This window comes from Homo sapiens, chromosome 18 (genome assembly GCF_000001405.40).
Source record: "Homo sapiens chromosome 18, GRCh38.p14 Primary Assembly".
Taxonomy (NCBI): domain Eukaryota; kingdom Metazoa; phylum Chordata; class Mammalia; order Primates; family Hominidae; genus Homo; species Homo sapiens.
This window is the reverse complement of record NC_000018.10, coordinates 72,786,400-72,810,880: the sequence shown is the minus strand read 5'-3', so window position 1 is coordinate 72,810,880 and position 24,481 is coordinate 72,786,400. Positions and strand designations below refer to the sequence as shown.

Genomic DNA, 24,481 nt, shown 5'->3' with positions numbered 1-24,481 from the left:
AAGAAAAACCCATTCTTTCCTTCTAACATCACCGAACCTAAAAAATATGATATTGATTTATGTTGCTGCAGACCATTACTCTGGGAAAGCCTCGGATTATTTTTCTCACCTCTTAATGAAATCACCTTCCATGCTCTTGTTCTTGAATGACAGAAAAACGAGCGAGGAACTACAGATTGAGCAGGTATCTCATAAACAGCTGTGTCTTAAGCAGAATTGTAGGAGCAAGTGCACCATTTCAGAGTGCTTTTGTAATGCAGTGCCTTTTCAAAATTACAGATTTTCTAAATGCCAGTGGAAAGAAGTGGTATAACACTGTTAAAAATTCTAAGACTTCCATTTTAGCACTATTTCCAGTTGTATTTGATATGGGCTGTAAGTGGTCTCCATTCTTACAGTCCTTAAGAGATGATACGTTTGCATGCCAAATGCACCCTGGCAGTTAGGTCTGGAGGTCCAGGAATAATCATTCTTCACATTCCCCAAGATGGAGACTATGCTTTCTAGAGATAATTCTTTCAGAGGCAGAATGTGGTCCCAAACTAGCCAGCTGACATGATTACTTCCATTTTCGAGTAGAGTCCCCATTAAAATTACTGGTTTCAGATGCCCGTTCAAACCTAAATTACTGTAATAATTGGGAAAATAAGTACAAAGGAGACAAATACAAGAAATAGAGATGGGAAGATTTGAATATTTTGGTAATCATGTACTTAGTCTGTATTTAAAATGGACCAAGATTACTTGATATTGTAGAATGCAAATAAATCCTTTAAGCTCTCAGATAGTTGTACACTTCCAGGAGATGACCTCTTAAATTGCAAACAGTGACATTAGACACAATGTTTTATTTTTTTAGAAAAAGTTTCATACATATTTAGATTAGCTTGGTTTTACCATTATTTACACTGAAGGTATTATTTTCGAGCTAAATAGACGTAAAAGGGACTTGCGCACCTAGCATATGATGCTATATATTAAAGGAAAAGTGGCTATCTTGGCATGTAGCAAGTATCTATCATCACTTTGATATTTGCAGTATGCAGAAAAAACTATGTTAGGAAATTTTCTGAGGGTATTTTCCTACTGATCTCAGGCATTTGAAGACATACAGTTAACTTCTCTTTCATCTCAACATTAAATGCTATCTAATAAAAATAAGTGCAGTGTGCAGAATAGCCAATGAGGCTACAACAACAGTATTTGATTTGTAAATAAATTTTATAGAGCAGTAATCATATTTGAGATATTCTTTGAATTAAGATAATTTTTATTCATGTATCGAAGAGGTTCGAAATCTGAATTGTACATGCATGGGATAATTTATTTTTACATAACATTTTATACTTTAGCAAATCCATATCCACTCTATTAACTAGTTGATACGTGCAAATACTACTGCTTTGTACCAAGCCTGGTTGATATTTTTTACCCCAGTCTCTTAGAAGCGAGGCAATTGATGCCTTAGAAGGTAGAATTCTGTCAATAAGTGTTAGTTACATACAGGTTCAGCATATTAAATTTTCCTCGTCGGTGGCTTTTTAAGAAATTAAGTATTTGACATACTTTTGATTATTTTCATTTGGGTTTTGAGTCTGTTTTGTTTAACATAATATCATTACAAAAGCTTTTTATCATTTATTTATTGCTTGTCTGGCATATATTTTTTTGCCTTTTTAATTTCTACCTATCTGCGTCAGTATATGCCTTATGTGTGGCTTTTATAAAAAGTGGGTGGCTGAGTTTTCTAGATGTGACGAGCAGAGTGATGGCTAGAACTTACAGATTCTGCCCTTGGTAAAGGAATGAGAATCATAACTTAAAAGGACACATTTACTTTTACAGAATATGATAACTTTACCTCTTTTCCAGACTGACAGAAATTCATGCAGTGCAAACAGCTTCTCCAGGATTGACCAAGAGGTGCCTCATGCATGCACCCGTGCCAGGCTCCTGGCAAGGCACCACTTGGCATTCTGCATTTGCTCTCTTGGTCCCATGATGGATCCTCCACTTGCCATGTGTCCCACTGCTGCCTGGCATGAAAACTCCAGTGTCCTTGCCAAGGGCACCAACAGAGAACACTGCTAAAGTTTCCAGCAAGAGGCTGCTCCAGCTCTATTTAGAAGGGTCTAATATTCATCAAATTCACTGGGAGCACAAAAGGTCTTGTCTTGAAGCTCCGTTAGCATGGCTTGTACAGCTTTATTGTGTCCTTATCTTATTTATGTGGCTGTAACACACAAGGCTTTGCCATGATGCTTAAACGTACATCTTTAAATAATTTTGAGAAAGCATAACTTTTCTTGTAAAATATTTTGCTTCTTGATTTTCATTGACACCATTTATTTAGTTTACAGTGGCATAATTGGGATGGAAGAGGACAACGTGAGATTAATGCCATCTCCTCACCACACACACACTCCACACACACACACACACACACACACACACACACACAAATCTGCAGTGCCACCACTGCTTCCAACCTGTGTGTAGCAGAGACAGCATTTTCCTCCTCTGCAACCTATGTCACGCTTGTAAGCCTGGGTCCCAAAGACTGCACTTCGTTATTCCTAGACACTCATGTAGTTCTTAGGAGAAGTTATGTCTTCTCACTTTTCTGGGCATAAAAGCTCAGCCCCAGTCTAATATCACCTGCCTTGGCATCAGCTCCAGAACCTTCTGTAGCCTGCTGTTTCTCCCTCCTCCTGATTAATTGCCAGTGGTTTCTGTGCTTATCAATAAGCTGGAATTGATAGTGGGAAAACAGTGAATGTGGCATAATTGAGAAAAGAGGATAATAATGGAGGCGTTTTATTCACTAATAGCACTGGCACCACATTTCTGCCAACAAGAAATGCCCTATTAAACCAGTTCTAGTGAAAAAGATGGCTCAGGAGATGGGCTCATGTATTCTTTGTGTGACTTAGGATGAGCAAATAACAGCATTCTGAGAGAATTAAGGGGCAGGGATATTGCTAATAACCAATCAAGAGCGTCCCTGGTTGCCCTTGGACAGAAACAACAACAGCAACAGCAACATACAACAACAACAAGAACAACAAAACTTATTCTATGACAGCTAATTCAAATGTGCAAACTCCAGCATTTGGACAGTATGGGTGTGTGTGTGTGTGTGTGTGTGTGTGTGTGTGTGTGTGTTCTTGTCTTCATTGTTCTGTTTCTGCCCATTTTTGATCGTCTGATGATTTCTTCTTCACTCTATCCCCCACATCTTTCTATGATTATGTTTAGTAAATGCATATTTTCTCTGTAGAACAGTAGTATTGCCTTGTTACTATCTATCAGAAGTAAACATTGTAAAAGCCTACTTAATGTGAACACAAACAAAATCCAACTTCTGTGTACTCGTGTTATAAGAGTTACGTTTTCTCAATTTGTTTAAAAATGTGAATACACGCACCATGAGGAAACTTCAAATTACAGCTAAATAAATAAAATAAGGGAACAAAAAAGCTTTACAAGCCCAGCACATATCAATAATATTTTAAAGGGCTTGAAAATTTTCTTCCTGTAAATCTTGTAAGTTTTGGTTTCTTAAATTTATATATGAATAAAATTTATGTTAAACTAGAAAAGAAAGTCAGGTTATATATACTCTGTGCCCACATGAAAACCATTAGGTAGACAGACTCAAAAAGAGAAGCTATAATTGTCAACCCCATACTTAGAGAAAAGAGTATACCTTTAAAAGAAGTTTAAAACATGGTGATATGAATTTTATACTAGAGCAATGCTGCTTCTAGACGAGTGAATTAACTCAGAGTATTAAAACAATATGATTATGCAAGCTATTCTTTACTCTGCTGTTAAGATTTTTCTGCCATTGATATTTAAAATGGCACTTAAAGTTTGTTCAAATGATTTCAAAAACTACAAACACTCTGGTTTTCAACCTTGAGTAAAAAACAAGGGGTCCAACACCTGTTGCAGACAAGTATGGAAGGATGGAAATAAGAATGTCCCCATTGAAGGGTGTGGTTAGTTTCAAATTAGACATTGTTTCAGTAAAGATGTGTACACAAACATGATGGGACTTTCAAAAGTGAGTAGGAGATTGGATGTGAAGATTGATTATGGATCGCAGGTCTAAGAAATGGAAGTCAGTCATCTGGGAATTGAATGAGAACAAGGAAGAGTGAGTGGACAGTGGGAAGCAAGGTGAAGGAGGAGTTTGCGTTGTGTTATTAGCTAAGAAGGGACTTGAGCAGATTTATTGTCTGAAAGGTTGTAGATAATAGAAGGTAGTTTAAAAATTTTAGGAAGATAATTGATGTGCTCACTACTATGAATAGGGGTGATGAGAAAATCCAGAAGATAGGTAGAGAATTCGATTTAGAGAGATTAATTTTTCAGAATTGGAGGAAGATAATTGATATGCCAACTACTATGTATAGGAGTGATTAGAAAATCCATACGGTAGGTGGAGAATTAGATTTAGAGAGAGAAAGTGTTGGTAGATAGGCAGTAATGACAGTGGATCTGGATGAGTTTATAGGTTGAGAGTGGGAAGTTGAATAACTTCCTAGCTCATGGAGTCTTTGTTGATGTTAATGAGAAAACTAAACATTGTCCCTGATTGTTTTCTCCTTCACTTCCCACACCCAATCCATCAGTAAACCTAAAATAAAGTGATTGGTCATTGAATGTTAACTGTAGGGTTTGTAAATTTGATCAACTTGCTTGAACCCAAATATGATCATATGCTTGGAAGAACTAATCACAGAATTACTGGGCTTCAGGGTGAAAAGGACGTCGTAGGTAATGTCGTCTACCAACCCACCCCCCACGAAGCCTACACAAATACTTGTTTCCTGGGGCAGCATTTAGTACACCTCATCATTAGCTTTCAACACACAGCTCTAATTTATTCCTCTGTAGGACAAATGAAAAAGATTTACTTACGTGGATCTTGATCTCTGAAATTCATTTTTGAAACATTTTGAACATATTTGTGTTTTTAACCATAGCTCCAACATCATACTCAAACATATTTTTCCCCTGCCAAAAAAAAATTGTATTTTATCTGTTTTATATATAAAATTGCTTTAGGTTACGTCACTCCCAAATCAAGAGAGAAGGAAGAACAGCCACATGGAGAGTCCAGACAGGCCCAGTAGACCAGATGACATTCTTAGCATTTACAAGTCTGTAATGAATTCAAATAGAATGTGACAATATGGAAATCTGGAGGTCGACTGCCTAATTCTGATTTCAAGTCCTACCATTTACAACTGTATTCTTAGGCTAGTTACTTAATCTCTCTGTGCTGCCTGTTTTCCTCAGCTATAAAACAAGCATAGCACTGTTATCTACATCATACAGTGTTAAGGAATAAAGGACTTACTATATTTAAAGTAATTAAAATAATATCTGGTACATATTAATTATTGCAATGGTATTAGCTATTTTCGTGGATCTAACTAAATGAAAATAAGAATTAAAATGAGAAACCAGAAAAAACCCTTTTAGTCACGTAGATATATTTCAAACTTGTATTCTTTTCATTTGTGTAGAATATTTGAGAACTCTGTCTCATAAAAATTTGATTCATTTGTATTTTAGTTTGTATTATAGGAAAATTCTTGAAGATTATAGTGGAGTGCTTAAAAATACAAATTGATTCTAAAGTCTGCATTCTCTTTTGTAACATAAATACTAATTTCTATCAAAATACTGGATTCATTTTTCTATGGCCAATTAATAAATGGTTTGCAGTTAAATATTGGTGCTGCATGTTAGCTCATTAAATTTTTGAGGTTTATGAACAACACTGTAACATGGCTTTAGTTTTTCCACATTTTACTTATCATTTATTTGATAAAAATGTAACAGTCAAGACAATTTAAAAATTCTGGCCAGTTATTCAAAGCCAATGCAAATAATAGAGATTGTTAGGTAACTTAGGAAATTAGTAAAGATTTTATTTGATGCCACTTTCAGTGTCTACTTGTCAGTAAAAAGGAGAATATTAAGGATGAATGACATAATTCAGGATGTCTGAGATTGTGGAAATTTGGGGAAAACTATTGTTTTCTAAGACTATCCTGTTAGGTAGTCGAGCTGTGCGTTGAAAATATCACAGTATTAAAGCTGATTTTTATAATCAGAAGGTTTGTAAACATAGTTGTGTCACCTGGTCAGGAAGTGACGTGTGCTCATGACCTGTTCTGGGAATACCACTGTATTCTGTGATATAATGGCATACATGAGTTGTAAAAACCTAAACCAACAACATTCTTATTTCAGTTAAGGAAAATAAGACTCAGAAATATGGAATGATTGGTTCAATGTTCTAGAGACAGCACTGAAGCTGTTTAGGTCTTAGATCAAAACAAGTTGTATTTTTCTAAAGTTGTCAATTCCCTATTTCTTTCATTTATAAAATGAGGAGGCCTCTGATATGATTCAGTTATAATCTAATCAGTTAACAGTAGTTTCCAGAAAGTTCATCTGCAATGTGGCTAGCAGTGTGAAATTTCATTGGATTATGAAATAAATACATCGTGCAAGCCTGAGCTATTAAATTGTAATTTAGAGTTCTTTTAGAAGAAGGTACCCATGATACAAAGATAAGGTTGGTCGGGGCAGACGTTCTGCAGCTTTTTAGTCTCAAAACTCCTTTCCTCTCCTAAGAACTATTGAAGAACTCAAAATGCTTGGCTTATTGGCTGTATCATTCAATATTTATTATATTAGCCATTTAAACTGAGTATATTTTAAATAGCTATTTATTAAGTAATATTCAAATTATACCAATAAACCAATAATGTGTTAAGGTAAATAGCATACTATATTAAAATATAAATTAATATGAAGATATTAATGAATATTAAAATATTAATTAGAAGAATGGCATTATTTACATTTTTGCAAATCGAGTGTCAGGTTTATTATGCTGGATTATCACCCCTGCTTATGCATTAAATCTGTTATGATGTGTTGTTATGGTGGAAGTAGATGAAGAGAACCCAGTCTAACAGAGATATATATGTAGTTGGAACAGCAGGAAAGAGTATCTTTTTTTTTTTTTTTGGTACGGAGTTCCGCTCTTGTTGCCCAGGCTGGAGTGCAATGGTGTGATCTCGGCTGACTGCAACCTCAACCTCCCGGGTTCAAGCAATTATCCTGCCACAGCCTCCCGAGTATCTGGGATTACAGGCATGTGCCACCACACCTGACTAATTTTGTATTTTTAGTAAAGATGAGGTTTCTCCATGTTCGTCAGGCTGGTCTTGAACTCCCAGCCTCAGGTGATCTGCCTGCCTCGGCCTCCCAGAGTGCGGGATTAAAGGCATGAGCCACCGCTCCTGGCCAGGAGAGTATTTTAAGAGCCTTTTCAGGGAGGGGTGATTATTCTTTTGTACTACACCAAAGCTCAACAAGTGATAGCTTCTTAAAGGTTAGTTGCAACAGGGAATATCAAACCGTATTGATGAATTTCTTTGTATTCTGTTACATTAACATCCATTAGTGTATTTTCCTCTTCAAAGGGCTCTGTTCCACATGCATCCTTGTTTAACTTCATGCATTATTTATTTGGCAGTTATTGGATTACTATTATGCAGAACTGCTAAATGTTGACACAAATCAAAAATCACATTTGTTCCCATCAACAACAATCTCATTTAAAAATTCTCTCAGCGTTGGGAAGCTGTCAAGTGCACTCTAGCAAATACATCTCCTTCCCTTGAAACTTGAATTTTATCATTGGCAACAAATATTGTCGGTTGTTTTTCTTAAAAATCAACAGATTCATTTTGTTCATTTTCAAGAAAATATCTGCCAAACATCCAAATCTAAACAACTGTAATATGCTTTTCAAGCAGAAATGATGCTCCATGAGAAAAATGAGTAACTCACACAATTCAAACAACTACAAGGTGCTTGTTCTTAAGAAAAACAGGAAACAATTCAGTCTGCAGCAAAAGTGCCTTATCTGTACTTAACATTTCCTCTTACAGAATATTAAAACTGTTACTCTAGACTTCAGAATCTAAATAATTGTTTTTAATGCTTCATCATGATGATGTTAAGTAAAATTCTTTTTTATTTTCCTGCTGTGCAATTGCATGGCAGTGAATTATGCAGTGAACACTAGCTGCTAAGGTTTGGTGCCACAGTCCTGATTCATTGCTAAGACACCAGCAATTCTCTCCACCATTGTTTTTGCACCATCAATGCAAATGTCAATCAATCCAGATGTCCCAGTATAAACCGTAGGATTGGAAAGTTAACCAAAAATTTGAATATTTCAACACTACTTCCATTTGTTGTCAAGCATTCACATAAAAGATGATCCTTGATCATTGGCCCATGCTGACATTCAGCGAATTCAAGCAAACTAAGGAAGCCCAGCCAAGTTTGTACATCCGTTCATTTTTTAGACAAAAGTAAAATTCTCCAGACATGGCATTAACTCTGTCTTCTTGTCTAAGCTGAAACTTTAATCAGCAAGTTACTGTGTGATGGGAAAGTGGCAGTGTCCTGGTTTCTTTTACCGACTTTTCATCCAGTAGGCATTCAGCAATGGCAGGTGTAAATGGTTTCATTAGCCTCCTGTGAGCTTCTCGACCAAGGTCTCACAATAACTGTGAGACATTTCAATGAGTTCACTATTTTGAGTTTGAAAAGTGACATTTGGCTTTTAGAGAGCTAATGATGTCTACGTTTAAAAATATACTGTTTTTTTTTTTTTAGAATTCTTATTTTCTCAACTCTTCAATCAAACTTTCAGAATAAAATCATTCAAAAATGCCTATTTTTCTAAGTCCTATGAAATTATTAACATCTATAAAGTGGAGGAAAAGATACATTTTCTCATATTTTCATTTTTATTTACAGGTTTGTTTGATTTTATTTGGAATAGATTCTTCCATAAGAAACCTGTTTGAAATGTCAGGTTCATCTTTTTTCATAATTTAGAAATAGATGGTGTGACTGTGGTGGAGACAGTGAGTCTTTTCATCTCCCCTTTCTAAGACAGATGTCCATCCTTCACCATAAGAAAAATATGGTATAACTATATTTTCTTTTATTTAAGAGGAAATATTACTAAGCCGTATAATTGTTATATATCTAGATAAAAGTTAAATACAAAAGATTTCAAATTAGATAGATAAGTAAATAGATTTACAAAATAAAGCAGCAAACATACTTAATTCTTGCTGTGCTTCTGTGTAACCTCAGTAAACATTTTGAAGTTTAAGAATAACATTGTATTGAACAAAAATCGGGTTACTGGGATTGTATTAAGAACTGAAAATAGCCAGTAAGTGTCCAGTAAAATCACGGAGAACAAACTAAGCTAATCTCTGAAAATGTATGTTATTTACACCCTAAACTTAGAATATTTGAAAATACATTCACATACTTTATTAGTCATAGTAGTGTGCCATTGTCATGTAATATCTGGAAAACTCTTCCGTATATTTTTGAGAAAATGAGAATGCAAAAAGACAAATAGATTTTTAGTATTATTATGAAAATAGTGACCTTTGGATAAAGGAACACTCCTGGGCTCATAGAATAATAGTTGCAATAACATTTAAAAAACTTTAGTAATTTCACATAATTGGAGTATATTATTTACTGAGGAAGAGTCTAATCAGAGTCAAGGAAAATGCTGTCTATACTCCACGTACTCATTTATAAAATGAAGCTGACGGAGTTTCGCATTTCCAATGCATGGCTTTTGAGGTAGACCATGGAAGAAAGACAGAGTCTGTAGGAATTTTTTAAAGAAGATTGTAAGCACCCAGCCTGCGAGTAAAAATTAACTTTTGTCTGCATTTATTTGCCAGAGTTCACTTCCATGGCCACATACAATTGCAAGGGAGGCTGGGAAACATAGTCTAGATGTGAGCCTAGAAAGAAAAAGAAAGACAGGTTTGTTAAACATGAGGCTGCTCTCTAATAGAGTGTCTAATGTGATACATTTACTGTGAGAACCTGTGGATTGGACAAGTGTTAAGTATAAGCCTTGCAATTATATCAACATATAATAAAATCAAGTTGGGGTAAAGTAACTGTATTATTTACAGGAAGAGACATGTTAAATTCAGTACTGAGTATGATCACCTATTATGCCCAAGCACTGTTCTAGGTCCTAGATAGAGAGGGTCAAGAGACACAAAGTCCCTTATAGCACATTTTTAGCACCAGGGACCGGTTTTGTGGAAGACAATTTTTCCATGTGCTGGGGTGGGGGATGGTTTCCAGATGATTCAAGTGCATTACATTTATTGTGCACTTTATTTCTATCATTATTACATAGTAATATATAATGAGATAATTATACAACTCACCATAATGTAGAATCACTGGGAGCCCTGAGCCTGTTTTCTGCAACTAGACGGTCTCATCTAGGGGTTATGGGAGATAGTGGCATCAGAAGTGTGTTGCTTATGTCCAGTCTACTCTCTGATCTCATTTCGGTTACTGTCACTGCAGAAAACCCTGCTTCACAAAGATAGGATGTAGGAAGTGGAAGCAGGCTTTTCAGTGCATTCTGTGGCAATCTCAGGATATTCTGCCTTGACTTTAATCCAGCACGTATGGAGATTTGAAGTTGTCTCAAACACACGTTTAAAGTCACCATCATTTGCAATATCAGGCATTTGATCCTCTTCTAGCATGGCTAAAGTCCATTCACCTGGCTTATTCACAAATGGGTCACAGATCCATTCCTTCCCAGTTCCGGGGCCTTCTTTGGTTAGGAAGTAACACTCAAGCTCTTCTGAAAGCTGAGATGGGTGCTCATGCACCAGCTGTGAGAAAGAAGGCCCTGGCTCCATCTCTCTCAAAATCTCTGCTAATGTTTGAAAGATGTCAGAAATTCCGTTGTTCACTCCCATAATTCCAGTTTGGCTTTGAATGCAGTCACTTTATTTGCTGACTTGAACACAGTTTTTGTTCTCCCCTGAAGTGACAGATTGAGTTTGTTGAGCAGGTTGAATGTGTCGCACAAGTAAGCAAGTTTTGTAACTGAATCTGTGTTACTGAAATGTGTTGCCAGGGAGACTATTTGTCTACAAGAAATCTCTGGAGTGGCTCTCTTAACTAAAAAACTCTGGCCAGTGATCTACATTGGGAAAGCCATCTCACTTCTGTGTGTAAGAGAAGACATGTGTGTTCAGCATCCAACTCCTCAGAGCTGCGCAAGCAGATGTGAGTTAAGGGCATGTACTTTAATGTGGTTGATAGTTTTAATCACATCCTGAAAAATGCTAAGTACACATGACATTTTTTGGCTAGCCAGCACAGCATTTCTGTATGGCTGACACAGTGCATAGACTCACATTCCCTACCTTTGACCAAGGTAGGGAAACAAGAAAGCCGTCCAGTCATGGCAGCCACTCCATTCATGCATATACAGACACAAAATGACTAATTCAGTTTTCCTGATATGTAATCATTCAAAGACTTGAACAGTTCTCTAGCTGTGATGTTGGTTGGCAATAAAAGTGCACATAACGTATCCTCATGCACATCATCTTGAAAAATACACCATACAGAAACAGATATTGTTGACTCGTTGTCAGTACTGGTAGACTCGTCATCCCAGATTGCATACCATGGTGACTCATTAATCCTAACAATTGTGCATCAGTATCTTCTGCCATTTCATCAGTTCATCTAGTTATGGTGCTAGCTGAAAGTAGCTGTGTTTTGAACTGCAGCCTCTCCTAAAAGTTCATGACAGATATCCTTAGCAGCAGGCAGGATCAACTTTTCACCAATAATAAAGGGCTTCTTAGCTTTAGCAATGAAGTTAGCCACTAAGAATGATGCTCTCAGTGCAGACACATTTGATGAAGTGATGGTTTTCAACAATTGCTTCTGTTCATTATGTTTTTGTTTTCTTTTAAATAACGCTGAAGTTGTGTCTTTTAATGCAGGGTGCTTGGTCACTATGTGGCAAAGCAGTTTTGTTGGTTTCATGACTTCCTTGGATAACTGGTCACCACACATTGTACAGAGTGGTCTTGGAGAATGTGAACTATCTGTTGCAATGAACCTGTAATTTAAGTAGGACTCTTGGTATTCTCTTTAAATGCAGCTTTCTTTTTGTTGGCAATCTTAGGGTCTTCTGCTGTCTCATCATTGGGTCTTTAACCCTTTTCAAAGAAGCTCTCCGATGACATTTGATTTTTACTCATTTTGGCTAGGCTTAGCTTGTGGGCTTACCAAAACTGTGACTGAGACAAGTGTGCAGTGTGGGAAAGACGCATTGATGGAAGTAAATAAAATAATGGGTGTGTCACATGCGGACTAAAATAAGTGGCGGATTTTGACTTAAAGCCTGCCACCACATGCAGCTGTACAACTGAAGTACATTAACTCACTTGCCACTACAAAGCCTGTCACCAGATGCCGCTTGTGACACTTGCCACTCACTGATAGGGTTTTGATATGCATCTGGAAGTGATTGCTTTATTATGGTCTCTGTGCAGTCAAACTTCTTTGCTAATGTTCATCTGTATTTCCAGCTGCTCCCCAGTGCTAGCATCACTACCCCAGATCATCAGGCATTAGATTCTCATAAGGAGCGTGCACCCTAGATCCCTCGCATGCACAGTTCGCAATAGGGTTGAAGCTCCTATGAGAATCTAATGCTGCTGCTGACTTGACAGGAGGAGGAGCTCAGGTGGTGATGTGAGCCATGGGAAGCTGCTGTAAATACAGTTGATGCTTCCTTTGCTGTCCTGCCTCTGCTCATCTCCTGCTGTGTGGCCCACAGCTGGTTGGGGAACCCATCCTTAGAGAAGTTCTTGATTATGGAGCAGTGGAAGTAGACGGTAAAAAAATATACAGACAAATAGTTAAATAATTGTAAATTGTAATTGTAATAACATGAGGGAGGTAAAATTAGGGACGTTGCTATTTTAGAGAGGATTGTCAAGGAAGGCGTTTCTGAGAATATAATATTTGAACCAAAAACCAAAGAATGAGAAAGATCCAGCTCTCCAAAGCCAGGAGAAAGTTATTGCAGAGAGACAAAAGGACAAGTTCCTGGTACAGAGGATAGGAACAGCCTGGGGTGTATGAGAAATAGGTGAATGTGATCAGAGAGAAGAGAGTGGAACCAGCAGCATGGAGCCAGGGACCAAGGTCAAGAACTCACAGGGCGTTAAGATGCATTATAAAGATTGATGGTCTTACTCTAAGGGCAGTGGAAAACCAGGAGAGTTCCATGATTCGATTTACATGTGTAATAGTTTATTTAGGTTGCTAAGTAGAGAACAGGCTGAGGGACAGATCCAGAGTGGAAGACTAGTTACCAAGTCCAACGTTATCGTGTGTCTGCCTAATAATTCATGTCCTCATCCACAAACAACCTTGGCCAATCAATCTTTATAATCTTAGTTCAATTTAGGCTGTTTTTAAAAAAGAATATTGTTTATTTGTTTGTTTTTGCAGGTCATATGGCCCATCCATTATTGTGATATTAATACAAATGGAATTACAAAAACATTTTTTTCATAAAGTTTTGTTTTTTAAACTATCAGTGCTATCACTATTAATACAAAGACAAAAATAAATTTTCAGTTCCCAGAACTGGCATTTCTCTCTACATTGCCTGGCATGAGTTATAAAAATGACAAATGTTAGCCTTCAAACTAGAAAATAGAGTATCAACTATATTCCACAAAAATTGTAGAAACAGGCACATAAGGCTGAAACCTTCTAATCAAGAAGGAGATAATGAGTATTAATTATGAATATAATTAAGCATTATTCTTAATAGTAAGAAGGATACAATGAATAACAAAAAGTCTAGATAACAGGTCATCAAGGTTGATGGAAAAATAAGGAAGAATAGGGAATCTTGTCAATATCAATGGAACTGCTTGATGAGAACAACCAATTTTAGCAGTGCTATGCAAAACATGGCTTTTATTACACAGTAGGTGTTAAATATGTATTTATTGAAATAATAACTATATATCTATTGATTTAGATGAAGAAACAAATTTCTACTAGGAAGCATCTTGTTCCAAATGATCTATGATGTCCCTATTTTTTAAATGGAGATTGCTTACAGTTTTTTTTTCCTTTTTTTCTAAAAAGATTTTTTAAAATCTATTTTCGGCCGGGCGCGGTGGCTCACGCCTGTAATCCCAGCACTTTGGGAGGCCAAGGAGGACGGATCATGAGGTCAGGAGATCGAGACCATGGTGAAACTCCGTCTCTACTAAAAGTACAAAAAATTAGCTGGGCACAGTGGCGGGCGCCTGTAGTCCCAGCTACTTGGGAGGCTGAGGCAGGAGAATGGTGTGAACCTGGGAGGTGAAGCTTGCAGTGAGACGAGATCACTGCGCTCCAGCCTGGGCGACAGAGCCAGACTCCGTCTCAAAAAAACAAACAAAAAAAATCTATTTTAAAAACAGCTTTGCAAAGGCATCTGTAACTTGTTTCAAAATTTATTAACACTTTCTAATAGTGTCTGTAGTAAAATAAGTCTAAATAGTTCATATGATCAGATTGTAGCAATCCAAGCCTCTCAGTTTCAACAGAGCAGTTCACATAACTGTTTGACAAAGCAAGAAGCAAACAACAACAACAACAAAACCTTTAATGAAGATAACTAAACTAACAATCAGCCTGTAGTTACAGGTTTTGCATATCCAGGCACACAGACATACAAAGAAACGCACTTAGATACCCACATACATATTAGCACACGTAGTCTTAATATCCTAAACTAATCTCTTCCAGAAAGAATGCTACTTTTTATATTGCAGTCCTGAATTGTTGTTGAGCAATGTCTCATAAAATATTTCTAACTTTAAAAGATTGTAACTTACAGCTGATGCCATGGTAGTAGGAACAAATGCATTTCCCAGTCATCTTTTAAATCGTATGCCAAGTTCCTTTAACATGTAGTCATTGATGCCTTCGCCCACTCATAAGTCAAAGAAACCTCAACTCAAAGTGGCAAGGGCTACAAGGACGTGTGTTATTCAAAAAGCAAAAAGCCCAATTTCAGGTAGGCAGGAAGAATAATAAGTTCAAGAGATCACCATGGTAGCTGTAGTTAATAACAATATATCCTATAATATACTTGAAAATTGCCAGAATGTAGATTTTAAGTGTTCTCACTATGCAAGAAAATGATAGATACATGTGGTAAGACGTGAATTATCTTGATTTAGCCATTTGACAATGTACACATATATCAAAACGTCACGTATCAAAACATCACATTGTACACCATGAACATAAACAATTTTTACTTGTCAAATGGAAAAAAAAGAGTATAAATCTTGGAGAAATGCAACTCCAAGAATGTAACTTATGGAGAATAAGTTACTCCATAAATATATCCAATGACTATGTACTTGTAATAATTAAAAATTCAGAATTTTTTAAAAATAGGAATATATGTGCATCAAATAAGATAATACAATGTCTCAGTGACATCATTAATGACTCATAGTCATTATGCTCTTCATCACAGTTAGCCTTTTATTATATTAACACCTTCAACATTGAAAGTTGGCTAACGCATGATTCCACGACGTCCGATACAAGCATGACTGCAATGAGAGCCAGAAAAATGGTATACACCTTGTCTCTATTACGAGGAAAACTTTCTCAGAAGCTCTCTAAAAGGCTCATCTTTATATTTCATTGGCTGCATACCTACCTCAAAATCAATTCCAGGAACAAGAACGAGACCCCCACTTTGCCTTTTCACCATTAGAAAACATCTTAGACTCATGACACAGCAGGCTTCCCCTGAAATACATAAATTAGCAGAGGACAGGTGGCTGAGCCTGGGCTTGACTGCGAGGAAGACAGGGAGAGTGGGTGTTGAGTTGACAAACTAGAATACTGAGGAATGCTTTGAAAGTTAGCATAGTATGAAATGTTGCAGAGAAAGATTTGATGAAAACAGGATTGTTCAGTCCGCCAAAGGAGAGGAGTTCTAGATTTTACATCTTAATTTGTGCTTCAAATATTCTAGTTAAAAACTGTGTTACTACACTTTACAGAATATTTTGAATCAGAAAAGAGGATAGTATCTAGAACAAAGGGAAATTGCCTCAAACCTTGAATTACCTATTGATACTTTTTACAAAAACGTCTGTTCTCCTGTTATAGAGGATAGATAATATGACTAATTTAATTATTCTACCTATGGAGTTATAGGTAATGAGTAAGATTTTTATTTGATAATTAGAGGCAGGAAAGGCATTAGAAAAAAAATTTAAATAGTGTTTTTTGTATTGAGAAAAACCTTGTAGTAATACTAAATTAACATTTCAGTCCCAACATCATTATGCACTTTTTATTTAATCATTTACTTTTCCCTAATGTGTTTTTTACTTTTCCCTAATGTGTTTTTTAAGGTAGATTTCTGGAAAACTTAATGATAAATAACTTAAACTCACTGTAAGTAATAAATGTAGAATGGGACTAATTGTCTTTTTCTCAATTTTTAAGATCCTGACTTTAAGGACCTTGGAGCTTTGAAACCATTACCAGGTTGGTAAAATAGATATTTAATACTGTTCAGAAGACTTTGTTTTCTGCTATGAAATACACTTTTGGTTTATTATTCAAGCTCCGTTTTTGTGTGTTTGTTTGGCATTTTGTTATTTAGCGTGTGAGTTTGAGATGGGCGGTTCCGAAGGAATTGTGGAGTCTATACAAATTATGAAGGAAGGCAAAGCTACTGCTAGCGAGGCTGTTGATTGCAAGTGGTACATCCGAGCACCTCCACGGTCCAAGGTCAGTCTTAAGATGAAACCCACACTTGACAGCTGACGTTGAGAAGTGTCTATAACAAGCATTGCTTTGAAGCAACTGGACGTGTCTAATACATTTCAGAGTGCAGCCATCAAAGGCTATGATTTCATTTTGGTTTTTGAGATGTAACTTGTCTTCTCTTGTCCAATCTAAATTTGATGTCGTAAATAGCAATCTAGAGAGTGAGTTGAAGAAATCATTTGATAATTTAGACAAGAGACTTTAAGGTAAGTCGACCTCTCTGAAACATGGATTGAAATGGTATGCAAGAGCCGTGGCTCTTAGTGTAACTACACTTACGCTCTTATTGTCAATATCTGCAGTTGGTTTATTTTGTAAACTAAAATTCTATCTGTAGACGTTTTTCTGGGGCCTACAAAATCATAAATATCTGGCATGTAAAATACAAGTGTGGTAAGGGCTGGCAGCAATGGTAACAGGGCCTGGGAGATCCTGTGCCCATTTGAAGGAGACAGGCATGAGTTAGCTGCCCATGAAGCTCCTTGTGATGCTGTTATGAGAAAATGTGGGTCCAGCATTATCAAACCCTCCATTATTTCTCATAACTTGCCAAAAGTCTAGATTTTATGTTGATCACCCTGACTTTTGAGAGTTGGCAATACATTATAAAAATTAAAAGTATTACATGTATTAAACTATTGTGGGCTAGATTTTGACTCAGGACCCCATTTTGGAAACACTTCCATAGCACAACTATGGTGATTCTGTTTATGGAAATATTTTCCAAAATACAGAGGATGAGTCATTTTGTGCCAGCAGGTGTCACAGGTCTAAGATGTTATTTGTTCATTCTCCTGTTTTGGTTTATATTCCTCAGTTACAAAGTTATAAGAAAAAATATTGACTTACTAGATTTGTAGTCATTTATTTATTGAGATTGAAACTGTGTGCTATTTCATTAATTGATTTTGTGACTCTATAAAGTCGCAAGCACTCTGCCAGCTACACGAAAAAGCAGGCCAGGCCCTGTTCTCAGGTGCTTCCGTTTAGTTCTTAAACCAATATGTAACAGAATAACCTAAGCAGTAAGGTTAGATCATTGGGGTATTTGTAAGGTATAACAGAGAGAGAGAAAAGACCCCTTACACCAGGTAGGGGAAGTCAATGGTAGAATCGTACAGCTGCCAGGATCTTGGTGAATCTTAATGAGAAGTATTTTGTCAAGAAGACAAGTTGACAAGGCTCTCCAGACAGAGGGAATAGCATCTATGAGGCCATGGAATCACAGGAGAGAAGAGAGCATGCTTTTTCAGGAGTAATGTAATTGCACGTGACCACATGAAAGCGTGGGTTGAGAGGTGGTGTTGATTGCTTAAGCTAAAGTGTTCCTCAGGCCTCTCTGAAGAACTCAGCCTTCACCCGGAGTGCTTCAGCGACATACGGAAAAACAAAGCAGAAAAGTGATATGACCAGATTTGCATATTTGGAAAATTGTTTTTTTTCCTGCAAAGAAGGGACAGAGGAGTCAACACTGCAAGCAGAAGGTCAAGTGGGAAGCTGTGGCGGTAATTCCAGTGTTGGAAATTAGGCCATGGTGGTCCAACATGAGGGAAATACTAGAGAGAGATGAGATAGAATTTGGTGACTGGATATTTAGACTGAGGGGAAAAGAAGAGCCCCTCCGCACCGTTTTTGTTGTTTTTTATTTTGTTTGTTTTTGAGACAGAGTCTCATTCTGTCTCCCAGGCTGGAGTGCAGTGGTGCGATCTCGGCTCACTGCAACCTCCACCTCCCACCTCAAGCGATTTTCTTGCTTCGGGAATTACAGATGTGTGCCACCACACTTGGCTAACTTTTTTTGTATTTTTATTAGAGACGGGGTTTCTCCACGTTGGCCAGGCTGGTCTCGAACTCTTGATCTCAGGTGATCTGCCCACATCGGCCTCCCAAAGTGCTAGGATTATAGGCATGAATCACCACGCCCAGTGAAGAACCTTTTTTGAGGGCACTGGTCTTTCTTCACTTGACTTTTTTCTTGAATGTATCTCTAAGGCTTGCACATAAAGTGGAAATGTGGCACCTTTCCCCCAGCTTTCAGTTACAGAGATTCAGAGATCATTCTCCAGCTTCCAGCTTTGATGCTTGCATTTCTCTCTGCCTCTGAACAAATCTTAAAGTTAATTGCATTATGAAGAAAGACAGTTATTTTTCTTCTATATTTTTTTAAGTCAAAAGCTGTTGCTCACATGAAACCATAAAAACCCACTACCTGTATTACAAGAGAGCTAGGTTGCAGTTTATTATGCTGTTTTCGTAAGGTGTGGATTCACATGCAAGGGCTATTTATTTTTCTTAGACTCTATGAATGAAAGATTTTTAAAGACTTTTTAAAAAACAGGATTATATGTGCCCCACCTTACTGTCATAACCAGTACTTTTGTCACTGCAGTCTCAAGGAGAAAGTTTTCATGACAGTGTAAATGCACACCCTTTTCTTCCAGCTGGTAAATAGACTGTCTTTTGTACAATCCCAGAGCAACAATAACCGATGTACCTGTCTGTTACAGAATTTGGCATTCTGTGACCCAAAGGGGAAGCTGCCTGCAGAGCTGGACAAAGATGGCTCTATTGTAACAGGCTTTCTCTGTTAAATTAAAGGTTAGAGGATGGGAAGTGGCTTTGAATACTGTGGAGAAAAGCACGGACTGGAGATTACTGCCTATGTGGACTTTCTATTTTTATAGAGTTCCTAGCAGCTTATGAGAATAGACTATCAAAGCACAAGTTAAACTTGAAATGGCTCGTGGTGAATATTTGAATGACACCTGGTGACTGAACCATATTGCACAAAGAAAGTGCTGAATAGCTTACTTGGCTCTATTAAAATGTATACACATTATTTACTGCTTTACCAGCTTTTGACAAATAGAAAATATAATATCTGATGTCTCCTTTACTACAGAATATTAATCTAGATGGTCCCCTTTAATTAGAATGTGATTAATCTAGATTTCATAGAATTCGGAAAACCAGAGGCAGAAAGAACCTTGTTACTGACTAGATCATTTAAAAGATGAATAAACTGAGTCAGGATAATGCAATTCAATAGGCGTTAACAAAGGAGTGTAGACATATGCCTCTCTGAGCAAATACTCTGGGGTCTAATTCATAATCTGGTCTGGAAAACAGCCACCAGAATGAAATGATGGGAGACCAAATCATGGTAACTATTAATTTCATGAAGGCTGGACCATATTTATCTCCAGATACCCAGTGCCAAGCACAATGTCTGTGACTCAAGTAAAACTCATGGAATAAATAAACGGATTATTTCTTAAAATAAAAAAGGACATGGCAGCAATCTTCAAACATTTGAAGGACTGTCACATGAAACAGGATTAAGACTTAATCTTCAGGAGTAAGACTTTTAAGTACTGCGGTTTATTTGAAAGTTTGAAACTAGAGAAATAGCTGTTAATGTAACACAGAGAAGCCTTTTATTTTAATAACAGAGATTGAATGAGATTTCACCGGAGGAATCCAAGCAGAGTCTGGCAGAGATTTTGTATAATAGTTAAAAGTCAAGTAATATTTTGGCACAGATAACATGAAAGTCATCTGAAAACCAAATTTAATGAATCTATGATAAGTGACTTGCCCAAATATTTGGCTAGTTAGCAACAGAGCTGGAGCAAGGTTAACAACTCCCAATTCCTGGCCCAGTTCACTCTCACAAAACCACATTCTTTGAGGAAATGATCAAGGTTTTTAAAAATTAATTTTAAAATATTTTTAAAATTTATTTTTAATTGACAAATAATACTTGTTTATATTTATGGGGTACGGTGTGATGTTTCCATCATGGAATGATTAAATCAAGCTAATTAACAAATCTATCACTTCACATTCTTATCACTTGCTAGGACGGGATACGGGACAGAGTCAAAATATGTATAAAATACATAAATGAAGGTAATTTAATGTTTAATGTTTTTGGATAATAAAACTCTAGCTTACACAGTTTACTCATTTCATATTTAAAGTTGACTCAATTTGTGGTTAACTAATTCAAAAATACTTTCAGTCAAATTAAAATAAAAAATATAAACACTTGACAAATAGTCTCTTACAGTAAAGTGGTGATAAAAGTATTAAAGTTACTTATCTAATGAACACAGATTTCCAGCCCCAATTGCTGGGATTGTGAATATGATAAATGTGCCTATGTGATTAAGGTTACCAGTCAGGTGACTTTGGATTAATCAAAAGGTAGACTATCCAGGTGAGCGTAATCTAAGCACACGAGCCCTTTAAAAGTGGAGCAGATTCTTTAGACATGAATGAAAGGGGAAGTAAGAGAATCAGGGGATTAAGAAATGTGTTCTAGGAGTGAGGGTGACCCCAGTAAGCAGTCCTCAAGAAAATACAGACCTTGGTCCCAGAACTGTGAGAAACTGGATTTTCACCCTCATCTGCCCTCACCAAAGAACCCAGTACTTCCTACCTACAGAACTATTAATAGTAGATAGTACATGGGTGTTATTTAAAGCTGCTAAAATTGTGGTGATTTGTTACCGAGCAATAGAATATTAATGCAATAAACCAAGTGTAGTAACTGTAATTGATTACAGAGATAAGCATCAAGGGTTCTGAAGATTGAGCCTGCTTTTATCTCCAAAAAGTAAGAATAAAATTTGATAAACGAAGTAAAAATTTTAAATAGGTAGGTAAATACCAAAAAAATTGTACAGTTCAAGTTTTAAAATGGCATTTTTATACTCTCATATTTTCAACAGCTACTCAGGTGGACTTTAAATATTTTGGTACTTGTTTATATATGCCAGAAAATTATTTTTTATTGTTATATCAGGAATTGTGCTGTGCACATGTGTGTGTGTGTGTGTGTGTGTGTGTGTGTGTGTGTGTGCTTGTGTGTTAATATTTTATAAAGCATTAAGATGTTCTGGTTCCTTCTCCAAAAATAAAGGGAACATTGATACCGTCCAAACGGAATATTCTACATAAGTTTATAAACCTGACATGTCTGGTCAATAATAAAATAGAAAATTCAGAAATCCTGGGCTACATATTTTGTAGAATTTGATTTTATTTATAAAGGTGTCTAGTAGTATTGAAACCATGTACAGCATTTCTCAGACTGTGACAGATTTAATTTTTACTTATTAAGGAGAAAACTGTTCTGGCAAGTGGTAAATAATTGCCTCAAATAATGTCTATTTTCTGTATATCATTTTGATATGAGGGGAGAGGGACCTGGTTGAGCAGGTGGTATTAAATTTTGTTTGTGAATATATTACTTAGTAAATTGTTAGCTAGATTTATTTGCTTTGCATATAAAAAGGGGTTCTGCTTTCCATGTGATTTGAAAAATAGATATTACTAGAAATTATTTATATGTTTTGAAGTTTTCCATGTCCTGCTCAATAAATTATCTTGTCAGCTCCAACTCTTTATGATTGATTAAAAAGAATGCATCAAAATGATTCACTGAGAAGAGATGATAATCTATTTTACTAGTGTTATGTATTACTCTGTTTATCATTTTCTCTTTTTTTTTCAGTAAGTGACTAAAGAGCTTTCTGTAGTTTGCTACATTAAATAATTCTTTCTATTAGTATTATTGTGGTACAAGATTTAAGCTAATGAGATAGTCACTCAAATCATAATATATAGAGAGATTTTACATGACATATACTAGAGTTAGTATGGGAAAGCGTGATCACGTTTTCTGGATAATGGAATTTGGCTTTTGTACTGACAGCTCTGGACCCAGTAAAGTATATTCTCTTTTTCTATATGATAAAAAATCATTGCCATCACTAGATCATAGGTAAACACTACTGAATGCTTCAGACGTGATTACCTGGGATCTAGTGACGGCAGTGATTCACTTACTCTCTAATTAGTGTTCTATTTAATAAGAAGGTCCTTTATAGAAGATACTTAGGTAGCAGTGATTGCACTTCATGTACAAATGCAAGACAGTCACCTCTTGTGGAAAATATAGAACTGTCAAATGAAAAAAATATAGGGCCAATATGCAAATTGACTTTCTAACTATAGCAATATTCTTATGTGAAATATTTCTATTTTTAAAGAATTTAAAACAGCCATTTATTTTTGAGGGACACGTTTATTTTCTATAAATTTTATTTATAACTTGATAGTCAACATCTTTTCTAGCTCATTAGAAGAAGTGGATAGTTTTGCTTTGCTTATTTATTTGATTACTCATTTTGTTTTTGATTGTTTTCTTTAAGAATATAACTTTCTTTCTGGGCTATAACTCTGTGAGCATTTAAAAGCATTACATAAGGCTGCATAGTGTGATGAGTATCCGGGTGTTAGGCACATCTGACTTCGGTACCAGTCCGTTACTTCAGTGACATTACTGTGTCACTCTGAGAAAGTTACTTAATTTTTATAAACTTCAGTTCTCTTCATCTTAAATGATTATAACAAGTATCTATTGTTGTTGAGAGATATGAAATAATGCATTAGCAGTGTCTTAAGCTATCGTCAATATAACACGCAAACTTTCTTTTCCTAACAATAAATTAGTATTTTAAGGTGTGTTTCTACATGCAATGTTAGAAATTTTAAATATTTGTTGAAACACCTTGAGCCACTGAAACATTTCAACTTGAAAACATCAGGTGGTCTAATAGCTTTTTTTTGTATTAGCCAAACAATTATTTAAATATTTTTCATCCCGTGGGCTTAGTACTTGGTTTTTATAACTTTGTAAGACTATTGGGAGAGACGTGTCATTTTGTATTACACTTCAAAGGAGTGGAACGCACTCTTTACTTACCCTAATCTGTGTTCTCCTGCTTGTGACAATGTTTACTTCCAATTATAATTGCATCTTTTTTGAGAGCTGATTAACTTGTTGAATTTATTGCATAGAATTTTTAGAGTATAAGTACATATTTGAATTTTTGTTCCACTTAACATGTTTGTATAATACCTAGATTTTAGCTTTGATTTTTACAGTGTTTTCAGTTTGTTTACTTTTAGTCAAAAAAGTAAACAAAAGTAAACAAACTGAAAACACTGTTGTGACCTGATGAAAAGAAATTTAAATCCAGAGTGGGAAATTTTAATCCTTTTTAAGGTTTCCACATTAATTCACTTATGATCCTGGAGCAAGTTATTATTTTTTTTCTTCTTTGCTCCAGCCTTTTTTGTTTGTTTGTTTTGGAGATGGGGTCTCGCTCTGTCGCCCAGGCTGGAGTGCAGTGGCGCAACCTCCAGCTTTCTAATAAAGGTCATCTGAAAAAAAAATCTTTTTTTTTTAAGTCATGTTAACATTGAAAAAACAAACGAGTTAGTATAAACTTGGAAGTTTAACATTTTTAGATGCATATATACCTTCTTAAACTGGATATTTCTGAAATTCTCTGAATAATTTTAGAAATGAAATATTGTGTTGGGAGGAGAAATCACAGATGGACTGCATGAGTAATATCTGAGTTTTAGATAAAATAAAACAAAGGAATAACCTGGGCATACCGAAAATGAAGGCCTCGTTGGGGCATATGTCTCTCATAAGGCTGTAGCAATGGCAGGTAATTTAAATCAGCATCAAAGTATTTGGAAATTTTAGAATGACTTCCAACTTCAGTGCTACAAATTGCTCATGTATGAAAATCGTCCTACCTTGCAAAGCATACTACAACTCAAGTGCTTTCCACTGTTGTTCAGTTTGATTCAT

General features: G+C 36.1%; 1 protein-coding gene across 11 annotated transcripts in view; it reads left to right on the top strand.

The window, feature by feature from the left end:
• NETO1 (neuropilin and tolloid like 1) overlaps positions 1 to 24,481 on the top strand; it is a 125,674-nt gene that overhangs the window by 57,107 nt on the left and 44,086 nt on the right. For 8 of the 11 annotated variants that reach the window (NR_148694.2, NR_148695.2, NM_001201465.3 and 5 more), the window contains exons 5-6: positions 16,477 to 16,518; positions 16,637 to 16,764. Coding sequence is in view for 9 of the 11 variants with exons in the window: in NM_001201465.3 (NP_001188394.2) it covers positions 16,477 to 16,518; positions 16,637 to 16,764 (170 nt within the window). In the remaining 2 variants the exon portion in view is untranslated. Of the gene's footprint in view, positions 1 to 71; positions 5,748 to 11,041; positions 11,194 to 16,476; positions 16,519 to 16,636; positions 16,765 to 24,481 lie in introns of those variants that run through there. The other 3 variants (NM_001354018.2, XM_047437876.1, XM_017026022.2) reach the window with 3 other exon arrangements.